The sequence below is a fragment of the Homo sapiens genome, chromosome 14, assembly GCF_000001405.40.
Source record: "Homo sapiens chromosome 14, GRCh38.p14 Primary Assembly".
NCBI classification, from domain to species: Eukaryota; Metazoa; Chordata; class Mammalia; order Primates; family Hominidae; genus Homo; species Homo sapiens.
The window spans coordinates 80445854-80464075 of record NC_000014.9 but is presented as its reverse complement, the minus strand read 5'-3'; the positions used below and the strand labels follow the sequence as shown (position 1 = coordinate 80464075).

The window sequence follows — 18222 nt, the reverse complement described above, 5'->3', positions numbered from 1 at the left end:
GCCTTGAGAAGAAAGTGCCTACTTTTCCTTCCACCATGATTGTAAGTTTCCTGAGGTCTCCCTAGCTATGTGGGACTGTGAGTCAATTAAACCTCTTTCGTTTATAAATTATCCCATCTCGGGTAGTATCTTTGTAGAAGTGTGAGAATGGACTAATACAGGAATGATTTCTTTAGGCACTGTTATTAAGCCCACTATAATTGGAATATTACAGAGTCCTCCTTTAACATTATGGCAGACAACAGTGTGCACATTCTGTGTATATATATAAGCCTCTGTTGTGAGTCTCACCTGCAAGCATAAGAAAGGAGTCATACCTTTTCATGTATCATCACTGGAACCCTGTTCTGTGTTTGAGCAGTACCTCCATACCAAGGACTGAAGAAGGAAAGGGATCTCACTGTTACTTAGCAGTTCCCTGAGAACCAACCATCAGTTCCCAAGTAATGAAGTTCAGGGTCAATGGTGTGTTCCTTAAGGAACTTCAGACTTCAGAGGCTCTTCAGACTTAAGAGGCTATTTTTTTATGAAGAAAGTGTTTCTGTTAGTCTTATTAGGTTTTGTTTCAAGTGGACAATATACTCTCTTCAACACAAGCTGGAGGAGATACAGCGAAGCTCATAGGAAGGATGGATAAGAAATCCTCTCAGCTAGAGCTCTGGCTAAATTTAAGAGATCAGGACTGCAAGGAAAAAGATACTTTGAGCCCTTCTCATTTAGCTTTCTTTAAATAATCCCACCATCCAAAAATTATCTAGGCTAGGTTGAGGAGGATGAAAATATAAAGAAGCATGAAAATTCATGGCCACTTTCTCTCCTACCCAGTATCCATTGTAAGTACACCATTTTTTCTTGCTGGGTCCTGTGGGAGAAGAACTCTAGATAATTTGCAGGCATTAATTTTGATGGGACCTGTAGTCTCTAAAGCTTTTTTATATCCTTGCTCATCACTCTCAGAATTCTATTCAATAAATTTTAGAAAAGTGATTCTAATTAGAAATAAAGATTACTCTTTCAAAGGAGTATTTTTAAATAACTCTAAGACATACTAGAGTGTTATACTTCCATATATCCAATTATCATTTTGACTTTTTCCAGCATTAGCTTACTTGGTATTGGATGGGGTGCAGTTTCATAGGGTTATTTTGTTTGCCAGCAATATTTGGTTAGTGGTATCTAATGCCCTATGGAGAAAACATCTCAGGATCTTTGTTGACTAAAGGTGATTTTTCTAGCTCATTATTTCTCTGCCTCAGCTTTATTGACATTTTGGACTGAATAGTTCCTTGTGGGGTAGGCTGTCTTTTATATTTTAGGATGTTTAGCAGCGTCCCTGACCTCTATGATCTAGATTCCAGGAGCAGCTTCCTACCGAGTTGTAACAACCAGAAATGTCTCTAGATATTGTTCGATGTCCTCTGGGAGCAAGATGAACCCTGTTGAGAATGATTCTTCTAAATCTATTATGTGCTTGGTTAGTAATAACAGCTAGCATTTATGGAGCACTTACTGAGTTCTGGCTACTATAGTAAGCACTTAACTTTCATTAATGAATTTGATTGAATCTCAGAAAATCTCACAAAGTAAGTGCCAGTATTTTCCCTAAGGATATTGACACACAGTAGTGTTGAGCCAATGGGCCAAGATCACAAAATTCGTAAAGAGAAGAACCAGGATCTGAACTAGCAGTTACAATTTAGAACCGATGCTCTTAACCAAGGTAGTACAGCTGTTGTCTAGCACTCATTTAGGTATATGTAGTTACAGACTTGAAAAGCCTCTTCCTTTGCAGCTATTTAAAGGTTGCAGGCTGGGAGCAGTGGCTAACACCTCAAATCCCAGTGCTTTGGGAGGCTGAATTAGGAGTATCTCTTGAGGCTGTGAGTTTGAGACCTGCCTCGGTGGCAAAATGAGACACCATGTCTATAAATGTGTTTTTTGGTTTTTGTTTTGTTTTGTTTTGTTTTTGAGACAGAGTCTCGCTCTGTCGCTTAGGCTGGAGTGCAGTGATGTGATATCGGCTCACTGCAACCTCCGCCTCCTGGGTTCAAGTGATTCTCCTGCCTTTGCCTCCTGGGTAGCTGGGACTACAGGCACATGCCACCACGCCTGGCTAATTTTTTGTATTTTTAGTAGAGATGGGGTTTCACCGTATTAGCCAGGATGGTCTCGATTTCCTGACCTCGTGATCCACCCACCTCCGCCTCCCAAAGTGCTGGGATTACAGGCGTGAGCCTACAATTTTTTTTAATTAGTAGGGCATGGTGATGCATGCCTGTAGTCCTAGCTACTTGGGAGGCTAAGGCTAAGACCTGAGCCCAGGAGTTTGAGGCTACAGTGTGCCATGATTATGCCACTGCACTCCAGCCTGAGTGATAGAGTGAGACCATGTCTCAAAAAAATAAAATAAAATAAAATGTTGTAAATAAATTATAACAATGGATGAAAGGAGAAGTAAAGACCATTTATTGAGTTTACACTATAAACAGAACACTTATCCTGAGACTTTCATATAAATTACATCATTTAATCCTCATAGTAGCCCTATGGAGTTGACATTATATTCTTTTACTCAATGGGAGAACATGGATACAAAACTATGTATTTTTACTCAAGGTATGAGGCAGTGTAAGAGGCAGTAGCAGACTTTGACCCGGTGCTTTCTGACTTTAAGCCCCTGTTCTTTCTGTTTTACTCTTTCACTTTTTTCAGATTTTAGGAAAGTGTTGAGAGGGGAGATTTTAGGTTCTCCAGATATATTTTCTGGTCCAAACTTCTTTTCCTATAAAAATCTCAAATTACTTGTAGCTGATACTTGGAAATTTTTAGCTCTCACTTATCCTTTCCTCAACACCTTCCAACAGGGTCTTTGTGCAGGAACAGGTGGTCAGGCATGGGCATTGACAGACCTGGCTCGGCCACTTCTGTGCCCTGTCACCCTGAGCAAGTCACATAATAACTGGGAGCTTCATCTTCCTTATTTGTGAACAATACCCACCTTGTAGGGTAAATATTAGAAAAAATATATGAAAGTACAATTATTAATTGGAATAATTTCAGTCATTAAAGTTGCAAGTATTTTGCCTCTTTCATTGTGTCCCTTTCAAAGCACTGGCAATATTTCTACCTCAATTTCCCCACCCCCATCAAGGGTATCCCTACCCCCATCAAGGGTATCTGGAAACCTGCCATTTAGAAATGTATTAAGTTTTATTCTTGATTAAAATGAAGGTATCTTGGGGTAGACAAAACATTTGAAGCCTTTATTAGCTAAGCTCACTTCTGAAGACTGGTTTGGGCATCTGGAGATGGTAGGACAAGACAGTGAGACAATGACTTCTTAAGATTTTTTTCAGACAGCCCATGTGAAAAATATTATTATGAAAGATTGGGCCGGGCATGGTGGCTCACGCCTGTAATGTCAGCACTTTGGGAGGCTGAGGTGGGCATATCATCTGAGGTCGGAAGATCGAGACCATCATGCCTAACATGGTGAAACCCTGACTCTACTTAAAATACAAAAAATTCGCTGGACGTGGTGACACATGCCTGTAATCCCAGCTACTTGGGAGGCCAAGGCAGGAGAATCACTTGAATCCGGGAGGCTGAGGCTGCAGTGAACCGAGACAGCACCATTGCAGTCCAGCCTGGGCAACAAGAGTGAAATTCCATCTCAAAAAAGAAAAAAAAACAAAGAAAGATAGCACACCAAGATCTGTGTCCACAGAGAGCAATGGTGAATATCAAGATCTTGTATTTAAGTGAAGCATTTCTTTTATCAAAGCCTGAATTGTGAGTTAGAGAGATAGATAGAAAATATATTTTTAACTATAAATGTATAAACACATATACATATGTATAACTGGGGTACAGAGTAAGAAGAAAAAAATACAAGAAATACTGATGTAATTCTCTAGGACAATATTGTGAACTTTACAACTGAAATATTTGGGGATATATTAATAAAGTTCTTGGTACTTCTAAATTGAGCAAAGAAAATATCCATCCAATTTACAGACATATGTATCACATGTACTCAACTCAATGGATGGAGACCTTACAAAGTGACCAGATACTCAAGGGAGATGTCATTAAAAATAAAATAAAAAAGTTGATGGAGAACAAGGTGTTCATATACAGTTGCCTTGCTGAGAATGTGGGTCGCAGTCTAGAGAGATTTCAAAGGTAATGTGATAATACTGCATATCTACCCAAGGGCAACCAGTGGAAATGTTCTGCCTCAAAAATAACTCAGTGTTTGAGAATTCTGAGAGGACATTCACTACACCTCCATCCAGAGAAATTGGGAAGGAGGGATGAATTCGTCGTTTCAAGATTTCAACAGATTAAACCTAGGATGTTAGGAATTTATTGCTGAAAATGTTAAATCTCATCACTAATTGAATTTCACAAAAATGAAGAACTTCAGGGAAACTGATATTTATCTGTTAGGCAGAAATCTGTTAAGTTCAATGAAACATGGTTTCAAAAAGATGTTCTTGCCATCTCTGTGTATAGACCAAGGCTGTAAAACTCAATTACATGTTAAGTAGTAATGCTATCACATTCTGGTGATCAGAAATGGTCATGGTGACATTCAAAAATGGCATATTGGATATCTGCCACTTCAACAATCCTGTAACAGCAAACTCTTTGCATAGCTGAAGATTTCCTAACCTCTTCTCTTGCTTTTACCAAATAATGGATAGATAAAATTTCACACAAACAAAGGAACTTGGAAACTCCTTTCGCCTTTTATGACAGAATCTGACCTAAGCATTCATTTGTGAACTCAAGAAGTGAAGCAGAAATGACAAAATTATTCTAGTTATTACTCCTTGGAAATCATGTAAGCTCATTCTGTAATATGAACCTATATGGTGTGGGAAACGAAGAATAAAATAATTTTTTTTTTCAGAAAAACAACCCATAGTGTGAACTGTGTTAAAGGAAACTATACAAGACACAAAAGAAAAAAGGAAAAAAGTCAGATTCATAAAGGAAAATATTGCTAATCTGGGTAGGAAGGTGACAAAGAGAAAAGGCAATAATATAAATCATATTTTTTTTGGTAGTACTTCACTTAGAAGATGAGGTAGAGGTTCAAATATGGAACCTGAGATTTCTTTCTGGCAGTTAATATGCCAATCATGTAGACCACCCCTCTAAAGCAGAACCACATTATGATTTATAAGTTGCAGGTAAAGAGAATAGATCACCACCCTTAGCCTGTTAGAAGAGCCAAGACAAGCCACACAAGGGAGAAGCAAGTCTCCAGGAAAAGGAGTTGGAAGAAGCTATCTACCACAGACTGTCACTTTAGGCCACTGGAAATACACATACATGCCCAGGATGTGCGTAGAAGCTCTGGGGAAGTTGCAGAGATTAACCCTAAGAACTGCTGACCAGAGAAGATTTCAAAGGCAAGGAGCAGTGAGAGAGAACCACAAGCCAATCAGAGTGAAAAGAGATGTCTGAACAGATGAAGAGGGGCATATAAAGACTAAGGGTTTGGGGCTTCTGTCTCCACAGTCTGTTCTAGCAGACTTCCGTCAATCTGGGCAGGTATTTAGAACTTCAAGAGGACAAGAGGGGTCAGGTGAGTCTGGGGTCAATGAGATGGTTTTTACTTGCATACAATTTGTCCCGTTGCAGTTGCTCTGAGAAACAGGTTAAATTCTTATCACAATGGCCAGTGTTCCCAATGTATTCTATTTGTTCCCACGTGTTTAAGGAGTCTGCTATTGACATGTGAGCTCACAAATGCACATTTAAGAAACGGGTGGAATGTGTGGCTTTCAGTGCGCGTCCACTGCTTCCTCTTGCTCTCTCTGCATGGGGAGAGTCTGGGACTCATGACACTTAGGCCTCCATTTGTAAAACAGGGCTGGCATTCTTTGTAGCCTATTTGGCAAGTATACTATCTAATACTAAATGAGAGACTGCTTTTGGAGGTTTCCCTTGGAAGAAAGGCACGTTATGGTTCTAAGGTGGCAAACATTAAATACAGTCTTCTCTAGAAACCATTTTCTTGTAAAGTTTAGAAAACAGAAATGTTAGTCTGGAGAATACATTTCAGCTTCTGAAAGACCTATGTCTCAGTTGTGAGCATTTTCTAATGCCTGGAGATGTATGGGCTCCTGGAGTGATGCTGTGGTTAAGTGATGAGGACAACAACAGCATTAGAACAATGTATGGAAATGGTATTCAGTGATCAGCTCTTGTTCTTTATTTCCAAGCTATCTGTGCAGAGATTGTTAACACATTTTATATTATCACTTTAGAAAGAGATAGGGGAGAGGCAAATCTCTTAAATGCCATTATTTGCTAGTGCAAATGTAAATCTAGTGATTGCAAGTTTTAATTTGAAATAGAGTTATCTTAGTATTAATATGCTTTGTCAATACTAAACTGTCCAGTAAAAATATAGTCTAATATATTTGGTGTTCAAGTTGAGAACTAAGGCCATAAAATGCAATGCTTTCCATTTATTTGTTTTAAAATAAAGATCAAAGGAAATTGAGAGATGTTTTCAGAATAGAATGCTATTATCTGAGCTAATGAATCAAAGGTATATGTATTACTCTCCAACCCACCAAGACGTTAATTCCTAATTTACTTACGTGTATTTTAAAAACGTAGCTTGCTTAAAATTATTTTAGGAGGGAAAATTATTGGGACCTCAGTAAAGGAAAGACAGATTATTCTCATTACTGTCATCTTGTTCCTTAATCTCTTGATTAATGATCACTGAGAAAAAAAAGTCAATAAAATGTTGCTTGTAACAATCCTACTGACTTTAGGGTGCAAGCATCATGTGTGCCTTTTATTCCACTACGGGGACTTACCACCCAGATCGTACTTCCTGAATACTCTAGTGGAACTGGATTATTAACTTTATTACACAGGGAACAAGAGACAAGAGGAATGGGATATGGGTGAAACCATAGACTGAGATATAGGTCATTGTCATGATTCTAGTTTTTATTTGGGAAGGGGAAGGTGAGAGTTAACAGGTGACAAATATGTTATTAGTTAACGGTTATTTTATCACTGTAGAAGTCCCTTTATGCTTGGCTTTTAGCCGTCAAAAAAGAGCAGGAGGGCTCCACTAAAAAGTACTTACTCCTTAAATGTCATCTACGTAGACTCTGTTTTGTTTTAGAGCTTCTCATTGCACTTTTGCATTGCATGTTAATCTATAACTGCTGCCTCGAGTCATTTTAGAAGCAGCCAGGGCATAAATCCTGAGGAGTAAAAGTTTTTAATTTGGGTAATATGTTTTTACACACACACACCCCCACACATGTGGTCATGTATATATATGTATATTTGTGTTCATATGTATATATATCATATGTATATATTTTCATATATAAGCAAATATATACTTGGCTTTGAATTTACAGTGTGAGTTATTTTGCACGTGCGCACACACACACACACACGTATATTTGCATAAAACTTTTTAGTTCCTGAATACTTCCCATGTATTATCTTATTCTTATTTTCCGAAATACTTCCCATAGATTATCTTATTCTGAGGTTCATAATCACTCTGCACAGAGGTTACTTGACCTGTCTAAATTCATGCTTAGTAAATGGTAAAGCCAGGACTAGCAATAAAGTTTCCTGAGTCATAGCCAGGAGTTCTTTCCACCACAACAGCTGTCAGTGGTTACTGGGAAAGCCAGGGGAAGAAACTGATTTGGCTTCTCTGAATTTGAGAATTGTAGTGACTGAAATATTAGCAGTGTAGTTATTTTCCAGGCCAGTTGATCCAGGACAGTTCTATCTATGGTTAGATAAGTTGTGTAAGTGGTCATGTATGATAACTTTGAAATGTTCTGTCTATATTATGTTATATTCCACCATCGTCTGGTGTTCTCATTCTTTTATGTTACATGTCTTTTTATTGACTTTATTTTTGACATCTAAACAATCTCATAGCTCCTCATTACACCAACAATAAAAGTTCTGATGCAGGGTACCCTATTACAAAAGGTATGTGGAACTAGAATCTTGAATCCTATTTTTTCCCAATTGCCAAGAGTGGCAAAACAATATAATAAAATTCTATTTCCAGTTCTGCCTGTTAGTCAAAACAAATTTTCAGATGGAATTTGGTAATTATGGTATACAAAATGGATACTGTTATTTCAAAGTTAAAAATTGATGAACCATTTCTTATTTATTTAGACATTCTCTTCTGAGACCCTCCATTTTTTAAAATCTAATTTATGGTGAAGTCCAATAACAGAGATAAGGCAACTTGAACAGTCTTTGTATTATTTGACAAGCATTCACTGGCAAGGTTAGTAAAAGAAATTGAAAAACTGCTACTTCATTACAAAAAACAATCATAATGAAAATCAACCCAGTTGGCACATAAGAACTTGCCATTCAAAATCAAAATACCATTATCAAATAAAAGATGATAGAAAGGTCCTTGGTAATAACCTTGGTATGATAATGGGTATTTGGGAAGTTTAGCCTGACACATCAGACTGTGTCATTTAAAAATCCATCTGTCCTAGAAGTCCTAAAGGCAAAGTTTACCATTGAAACAACTTGTTTTTCTTGAAAAATAAGACAAAACCTTGCATTCCATGGATAGAGGTTGAGATGCTATTACAAAGAAACCCCCAAATGTACTGGCTTACATAGATAGAAGTGTATTTCTCACATTAGTCTGGCCGGTCCAGGTGGCGAAGTGGATCTACTCCTCTAGGTCATTAAAGGGCACAGATTCCTTCCTTACTGCCGCATTGCCATTTCCTGAATGTCGCACTCCTCAGCGCTGCTGGAGAAAGAGTTCATGGCAGGTGTCTTCAAGGAAGTGACATATAAATTCCACTCCTCCTCCGTTGCCCAGAATCTCATCACATGAACATACTTAGCTTCAAGGGATGCTGGTAAATGTAGTCTGTAGCTGGGAGGCCATGTTCCTAAAAGTGGGGAGGTGGGGGAAATGATGGAGAGTGGATACAAATTGACTCAATTACTAAAAGAGAGTAGAATAGACAGGAGTGTGGTGCAGCTAGCAGTATCTACAGTAGCCACATTATACAAAATAAAATGCATTTATTCAAGCAGGAATAGTATCAGCAACAAATTAAAGACACAATCAGACAATCAATGCTGGTAGCACTTGGGTTCTTTAAAAATCATGGTTCTCAAGTTTTTTCAGTCTGTGTACCACTTCTTTGTGGTAAAAGTTATGCAGATCACCTATACTCTGCAGGAAGATTTCGTTGTGTACTTGACTTTGTTTTTCTTGCAATACAATTAGATTAGCGAAGCATGCCATTTTTTTTTTTTTTTACATTATTGAAGAATAACCTTTTCTAAGTAACTTGACTTTACAAATAATGGAAACTTACCACTTAAAGAGATTTAACATCCTCTTTTATGAGTAGGTGTATGCATGTGTATGTAATATTTACTAAAGGGGGTGTATATTTTTCTGCTTCTTTAAACAAGATTACTAAGCTCATATGAATTAATTCATACTTCTATTCAACACAAATTGATTGAGTGGCTACGATCTGTCAGTGTACATCAGGCTCTGCATATGGGTTCAGGTTTAATCTTCCCAACAACCCAATGAGGCAGCTCAAGTTTTCACTATTTTACAAATGAAGAAACAGAATGTCAAGGAGTTTAGGTAACACACTCAACATTATATAACCAGCTAGATTTAAACCGCAGTCTCTGCTATTCATTCTATTTCTCTGTTTGCTTTATTCAAAATATATTTATCAAACAGCTTCTATGGACCAGGCAGTAAGCTAGACATTTTTATCTTTTACTTCTGTTTAACCTCAAAACAATCCCATGAAGTAGATAGTATTTTTCCATTTTATGGATGGTGTAACTGTGTTTCAGAAAGGTGAAATATCTCACTCAGGATTGCAGAGCAATGGGTGGAACAGGCAAGGCTCAAGTTCAGAGCCCTGTCCTTTGCAGATGGAACCTGCCTTTTCTCCTATTTTAGGTCACCACTCCCATTGGGCTCCCAACTTAGGCAAAGCACAGACTTGCTTTATCTTCATCCCCTCTACATTTTCCATCCACTGACTTAGCAGGTCCTGTGAACTCTATTGCAAAAATGTCTTTCCAGTCCAGCCCTCATCATAGCCAGGCCCATCATAGCCAGGCCCATCATAGCCAGGACTTTATCATTTTGGACTTGAATCATTTCAACTGTTTCCTAAGTGGTCTTTCTATAATCAAATTATTTTTCCTTATTCTAATCTCCTCACTGTCATGAGATGGCCACCCTCAAATAAAATATCCAATTACAATTCGCCCAGGCTTAAAAGCTCCCACTCGTTTCTTGATCTCCTCAGAATAATATCTCAGTTCATCGGCTCCTCTAGGCTTCATACAAGGATCCTCTCAATTCAGCTGCAGCTTCATTTCTTATCACCCAACTCCTAACCAACCTAAATTCTATCCATACTTAATGCTTTGCTAATCTTCAAACCCATAGGCTTTTTCATGACTCTGTACTTTTGTACATGATGTTCTTGTGACCTAGAGTAGTCTTTCCCACTTTTTTCTGCCTGGAAAATATCTATGTGTTTTAAAGCTGCAATTATAATTATGAAGTTGTAAAGTTGCTTCCCCAAATGAAGTTGGCCACCCTTCTTTGTTCCCATAGTGTACTCTCGTGAATCTTAATATAGTGCAGTAAGTGCTATCATAATTACACGCCTGTCTTACCCAGACTATGCTCTGCCTGACAACCAGGAACACCTTGGCCTTGCACAATGCTTGGCACACTATGCAAATGTTTATTGGGAACAATAGACTAAATAGTTGCTAGGCATAGCACAAAGGCCATGCATTGGGTTGTGATGCCATTTAACAACAAAACAAGTCAACTCTTTATTAAACACTTACTCTAGACAAGTCATTGTGCTTGGTACTATGAAAGGATCAAGAAAGAATGGGAGACTGGGAAGGGTAGTGGGGAGGAGTGTATGAAGAGAAGTTTATTAATGGATACAAATACACAGTTTGATAGAAGAAATAAGACCTAAATGTTAGATAGATCAGTAGGGTGACCATAGTTTTCAATAATCTATTGTACATTTAAAAATAGCTAGAAGAGAATAATTCAAATGTTTTTAGCATAAAGAAAGACAAATATTTAATGTGATAGATAACACAGGTACATTAATTTGATTTTTACAGATTATATGAATGTATTAAATTATCACATGTCCTCTGAAATTATATGCATCTATAATGCATAAATTAAAAAATAAATTTTTAAAAAAGAATAAAATAATCTTTGCCTGTAACTCTTTACCCTAGCTTCAAATTTAATTAAGGAGCTAAGAGTAATAATTTGGAAATTAGAGCATTTATGTCGCTTCTTAATTGTTCCTTGTTTATACCTATTAAACTCTAGAATCCTTGAGGATGGATTATCTTTTCATTATTGTTTTTAAAGTTCTTGTTATTGCTTCTGGCACGCAGTAGGTGTTCAAAAGTCTTTGTTAAAAGATGATTGAATAGTAAGTTTTCAAAAAAAACATATAGAGGATCAATGTTGAAAGCACAAAATGAGTGACATAGCCTCTATGTATATTAATGAAGATGAGATGAAGAAACAGGCACTGAAAGAAGATTTGGATCAATCTGAGACATAGGAAGGATTTGAGAAAATTAAGGAAGTGATAAAGTCATGTCAAGAATATAGAAACAAATATGAGAAAATGCATTTTATTAGTTAGGTAATGTAACAAACTCAGTGTCTTATAACAACAAACACTTATTTCACACTTGTAGATCTGCTGATTTAGGCTGGCTTAGCCAAGTGACTATTTCGGGCTGCAGGTCACCTGAGAGTTAGGGTTGACTCTGGGTTATGTTTGGGTTTAGGTCTACTCCACATCTCTCCATCCTTGTGGTTGATGTCTTGGGGAGGGGATAAGTGTATTTTGGATGTGGGAAGTACAGGAACAATTGTGATCAAGAGAATATGCTGTGGCATATTGATTCATTCATTGTTCACAATTATTCATGTCCCCCTTTCATTCAAATTATATATTTGCAACTTTTGCCATATGGTTTTGTAATACCTTTCTCTAAAATAAATAGAGTATGTTTCCTAGCCCCACTGATGTTGGAATTGGCCCTGTGATTTGATTTGACCAGTGAAATAGAGGTAGAAGTCACAATGTTCCAGTTTCAGGCTAACACCTTGTATTAGTTTGTTCTCACATTGATATAAAGAACTACCTGAGACTGGGTAATTTATGAAGAAAAGAGGTTTAATTGACTCCCAGTTCCACAGGCTTAACAGGAAGCATGACAGGGAGGCCTCAGGAAACTTACAATCATGGCAGAAGGGGAGGCAAACACCTTCCTCCCATGGCAACAGGACAGAGAGAAAGAGCGAGCAAAGGAGGAAGTGCCACACACTTTTAAACCATTAGATTTCATGAGAACTCACTGACTATTATGAAAACAGCAAGTGGGAAAATCTTCCCCCATGATGCAATCACCTTCCACCAGGCCCCTCCTCCAACATTTGGAATTACAATTTGACATGAGATTTTGGGTGGGGACAAAAATCTTAACCATATCATTCTACACCTGGCCCGTCCCAAGTCTTATGTCCTTCTCACATTGCAAAATACAGTTATCTTTTATCAACAGTTCCCCAGTCTTAACTCATTTCAGCATTAATTCAAAAGTCCATAATGCAAAGTCTCATCTGAAACAAGGTAAGTTCCTTCCACCTATGAGACTATAAAATCAAAAACAAGTTAGTTACTTCCAAGATATAATGGGGGTATAGGCATTTGGGCAGATGCTTACATTCTAAATAGGAGAAATTGGCGAAAATGAAGGACCCATAGGCACCATGAAAGTTCAAAACCCATCAGGGAAGTTATTAAATCTTAAAGCTCCAAAATATTCTCCTTTGACTCTATGTCTCACATCCAGGGCACGCTGATGCCAGAGGTGAGCTCCCAAGGCCTTGGGCAACTCCAACCCTGTGGCTCTACAGCCCCTTTGGCTGCTTTCATGGGCTAGTGTTGAGTGCCTGTGGCTTTTCCAGGTCCACGGTGTCAGACCTACCATTCTAGGGTCTGAAGGACTGTGGCCCTCTTCTCACAGCTCCACTAGGCAGTGTCCCAGTGGGGACTCCGTGTGGGGGCTCCAACCCCACATTTCCCATCCACACTGCCCTAGTAGGGGTTCTCCATGAGGACTCCACCACTGCAGCAAACTTCTGCCTTGACATCCAGGTGTTTCCATACATCCTCCAAAATCTAGGCAGAGATTTCTAAACATCAACTCTTGTTTTATGTCCACCTGGAGGCCCAACACCATGTGGGAGCTGCCAAGACTTGGGGCTTGCACCCTCTGAAGCTGTACCTTGGCCCCTTTTAGCCATGGCTGGGGCTGGAGAGGTTAGGACCCAGGGCACCATATCCCAAAGCTGCACAGAAGAGCTGTGCCCTAGGCCTGGCCCTCAAAAACATTTTTTTCCTACTAAGCCCTGGGGCTGTGATGGAAAGGTCTGTTGTGAGGATCTCTGACATGCCCTGGAGACATTTTCCCCATTGTCTTGGGTATTAACATTCGGCTCCTCATTGTTTATGCAAATTTCTGCAGCAGGCTTGAATTTCTTCCAAGGAAATGTGTTATTCTTTTCTACCTCTTGGCTGGGCTGCAAACTTTCCGCAATTTTATGCTCTGCTTCCCTTTAAATATAAGTTCCAGTTTCAGATCATCTCTTTGTTCACACATATGGGCATACAAGGCATACAATTTTAGAAACAGCCAGGTTACTTCTTGAATGCTTCGCTGCTTAGAAATTTCTGCTGCTGGGTATACTAAATCATCTCTCTCAAGTTCAAAGTTCCACAGATCTCTAGGGCAGGGGCAAAATGTGACCAGTCTCTTTGCTAAAACATAGCAAGGGTCACCTTTACTCCAGTTCCCAGTGAGTTCCTCATCTCCATCTGAGACCACCACAGCCTGGACTTCATTGTCCATATCACTGTCAGCATTTTGGTCAAAACCATGCAATAGGTCCCTAGGAAGTTTCAAACTTTCCCACATTCTCCTTTCTTCTTCTGAGCCCTCAAAAGTGTTCCCCTCTGCTTGTTACCCAGTTCCAAAGTCACTTCCACATTTTCAAGTATATTTATAGCAATGCCCCACTCTTCTGGTACCAATTTTCTGTATCAGTTCTCACAGTGCTGTAAAGAACTACCTGAAACTGTGTAGTTTATGGAGAAAACAGGTTTAATTGACTCACAGTTCTGCATGCTTAACAGGAAGCTTGACTGGGAGGCCTCATTAAACTTACAATCATGGCCAAAGGTGAGGGGGAAGCAGAAGCCTTCTTCAAATGGCAGCAGGAGAAAGAGTAAAGGTGGAAGTGCCACACACTTTTAAACCATCAGATCTCATGAGAACTCACTATCATGGGAACAGCAAGGGGGCAATCTGCCCCTAGGATTTAATTACCTCCCACCAGTCCCCTTCTCCAACAATGAGAATTACAATTTGACATGATATTTCGGCAGGGATGCAAATCCAAATGATATCAGACCCCAAGAGACTGTATTTTTCTGTCCACCCTCTTGTGCTCCTGTCTTTTGCTGGTACAGGGAGAACGACAGACATGTAATGTAAATTGCACTGTGATTCAAAGCCCGAAGCCCAGCCAACTACAAACTGAAGCAGATCCTTCCCTGGCTGACCCCCAAACTAGGGAGCAAGAAAATTATAGCTTTACTGTTGTAAAACTCTAGGTTTGCAGCAATATTTGACTAATACAGATGTGGAAGTGGGCAGAGACATGGAACATTCAAAAGTTATGTTGGAAAGAGGGCTAAGGACTCATTGAATGGAGGCATGAACAGAATATAAGAACGATCACATAAGCCGGGCGCAGTGGCTCACGCCTGTAATCCCAGCCCTTTGGGAGGTCGAGGTGGGCGGATCACAAGGTCAGGAGATCAAGACCATCCTGGCTAACATGGTGAAACCCCATCTGTCCTAAAAATACAAAAAATTAGCCGGGCATGGTGGCGGGTGCCTGTAGTCCCAGCTACTCCGGAGGCTGAGGCAGGAGAATGACGTGAACCTGGGAGGCGGAACTTGGCAGTGAGCCGAGATTGTGCCGCTGCACTCCAGCATGGTGACAGAGTGAGACTCTGTCTCAAAAAAAAAAAAAAAAAAAAAAAAGAACAATCACATAAACAGGCAGCAAGGGAGAAGGGAGTCAAAGCTGACTAACTGGTGAAGCCCAGGTTGAATGCTGACATTACTGGCTAAAATGACTATTTCAGTAACCATGGAATGATAAAGTTAAATGGGATCTTGAAATTATTTTTGATATTGCAATCTCCAAGGCAGAATTAGCATGCAGAATTATTTTGTTTGGCCAAGATAGTTTTTTTTAAATTTGAATTTGAATGCAGTGGACAGATCATACATCCTCCTGTTCCTTACGTTATCTACTTCTCGTTTTTCATCCTCCATACCGTCAAATGCATTTGAGATTATGCTCCCTGGCAATCTCATTACCACATATCCCCAGGCACATTAAAGATGACTGAGAGATATGCAAGTTATATGACAATAGCTGTATGAACTGAACACTTATGTGTTCAGACATTGTTTTATGTGATTTGTATGTTTTATCTCAAGAATCTTCATTTTGAAGATAGGGCAAAAGGAGTTTAAATGACTTGCCTGAGGTCAACAGTTGGAAGTGGAAGAGCCAATATTTGAATAGTCCAGTTTATTGAGCAGTTTCAACTTGGTCAGCTTAAACATAAATGAGATTATTGTTTGGTGAACGCTTTCTGCAGCTAACCTAATGCATCCTGCTTCCTTTCCTGAGACCACATCAATCTCTCTCTGTTTTTGTTTTTTTGTTTTTGTTTTTTTTTTTGAGATGGAGTCTCACTCTGTCACCCAGGCTGGAGTGCAGTAGCACAATCTCCGCTCACTACAATCTCTGCCTCCTGGGTTCACGCCATTCTCCTGCCTCAGCCTCCCGAGTAGCTGGGACTACAGGTGCCCGCCACCACACCCGGCTAATTTTTTTGTATTTTTAGTAGAGACAGGGTTTCACTGTGTTAGCCAGGATGGTCTCCATCTCCTGACCTCGTGATCTGCCTGCCTTGGCCTCCCAAAGTGCTGGGATTACAGGCATGAGCCACCGTGCCCGGCCGAGAGCACATCTCTTAACTGCAACGAGTGATTTCAGAGGATAGCTTTTTATTACACTCTCTTTGTTATATGGTCAAGGTAGAAAATCTACAGGTAAGCTGCTTTAAAGAATTTTTTTTTTACTACTTAAAAAAAATTAACTCTTCTGAATTACTTTTCCTTAAATAGCTGAACTGAACTATTACTGTTTTTTTTTTTTTAACATACTGTTAGCAAAACTGTGGGGAAACAGGTCTGATGATTCATGGGTGTAGCATACAAACCTACATGAACCCTTATGCAGGCATTTAGTTAGTATCTATCAAAATTTTAAATTCATACATCTGCTTTGACTCAGCAAATACACTTCTGGAAATTTGTTCCACAGAAATACTGCTTAGCTATGAACTGATGTTATTTACAAGGGTATTGTTTGAACAGCAAAAGTCTGAAAATAACCTAAATATCCATCAACTGGGGAGGGCTTAAATTAATATATGTCCATATAGTGGGATATAATGCACCTGTAAAAGTAAGATTGTTCTTCATGTAATGATGTGGAAAATTTATAAAAATTCTTGTTAAAAAAGTAAGGTGCATAAAGGTATGTAGGGTATACTCCTTTTGGTGTAAGGAAGGAGGAAACAGGTCAGGCATGGTAGCTCAGGCCTGTAATCCCAGCACTTTAGAAGGCCAAAGTGAGAGTAGCCAGGTGTGGTGGCACATACCTGTGGTCCCAGCTACTCAAAAGGCTGAGGCAGGAGGATTGCTTGAGCCTGGGAGGTTGAGGCGGCTGTGAGCCATGTTTGCACCACTGCATTCTAGCCAGGGCAACAGAATGAGACCCTGACTTGGAAGAAAAAAAAAAAAAAGAAGGAAACATATATATTTGTACTTGCATAATAAAACCCTGGAAGCATACACAAGAAATGAATAAATGTTGTTACCTTAGGATAGAAAGGGACAGGACAGGTGGGGCAGGTGTGGGAGAAAGATCTACACTGCATTTAAAAAAATACATTTTTAAACTGCACGAATGTGTTAAAACATTGAAAAACAAAGCAATCACTGTTTTATATATATATATTAAAATATTAGAAATAGAGTCTGCATTCAACTACTAGATAATTACTCATTTTTGTGGATTATCCATTAAAAATGTTGATAGTTGGAGAAAAGCACTAGACTTAAGCATCAGGTGTTTTGAATCTGGGTCTATCAATTACTAATTGTGTGATCTCCAGTCAGTCTCTTCTTTTTGGAATTGTTTTCTCATTAGGAAAATTTGTTAAGCCAGATGGTTTCTGTTCTAGTTCTGAGTCACTCTTTTCTCCCCCTTAGCAAATGACTGGGGAATGCAACACAATCTTGACATTTCCCTTCACAAAACTTGATTGGAAAGACCACCACTTTTGCATTTTGGCATCAGGATTCTTTGTCTGGAAGCAAGTGAAACTGACCCTGTTTAGCTTAGGCACAAAGTAGCTCATAGAGTCAAGGGAGAGCTGGAAAACCAAAGAGAAAGTTTGTGTATTTCCTTCCAGGGCACTCAATTGAAGGACTTCTTTTAACTGCCTTGTGCAACTGCATGTTTGCGATAAAGATTCAAATTCCCAGAAGAAAAAAAAATAATGAACTCTGAAGTTAAGGGAGCAGCGTTCTGCCATTGAAGCCACTTCACAACCTCATGCCATTAGAGATAAATGATGCTGTAATGAAAGGATGTTGGGCAAACAGAAACAATACCTATCCAGGGAAGCATTCTCCTTGTTAGAGCTGCTCTTCAGCCATCTAGTTGATTGGAGCTGATAGACCCTATCTCATGTATCTTAGTCTCTTTGTGTTGCATAATGGAATACCTGAGGCTAGGTGATTTATAAAGAAAGAAAGTTTATTTGGTTCTTTGGACTGTACAAGAAGCACGGCACCAGCATCCACTTGTTGCGAGGGCTTCAGGCTGCATCCACTCATTGCAGAAGGAGAAGGGGAGCCACACTATGCAGAGATCACATGGCAAGAGAGAGC

At 39.2% G+C, this 18222-nt stretch overlaps 1 long non-coding RNA gene across 1 annotated transcript in view; it reads right to left on the bottom strand.

Moving 5' to 3' along the window:
* Positions 1–8608: 8608 nt before the first annotated feature.
* The window catches only part of DIO2-AS1 (DIO2 antisense RNA 1), a 244049-nt gene continuing 234435 nt past the window's right edge, over positions 8609–18222 (bottom strand). Inside the window, exon 9 of the long non-coding RNA NR_038355.1 lies at positions 8609–8948. This is a non-coding gene — a long non-coding RNA (DIO2 antisense RNA 1). The remainder of the gene's footprint in view (positions 8949–18222) is intronic.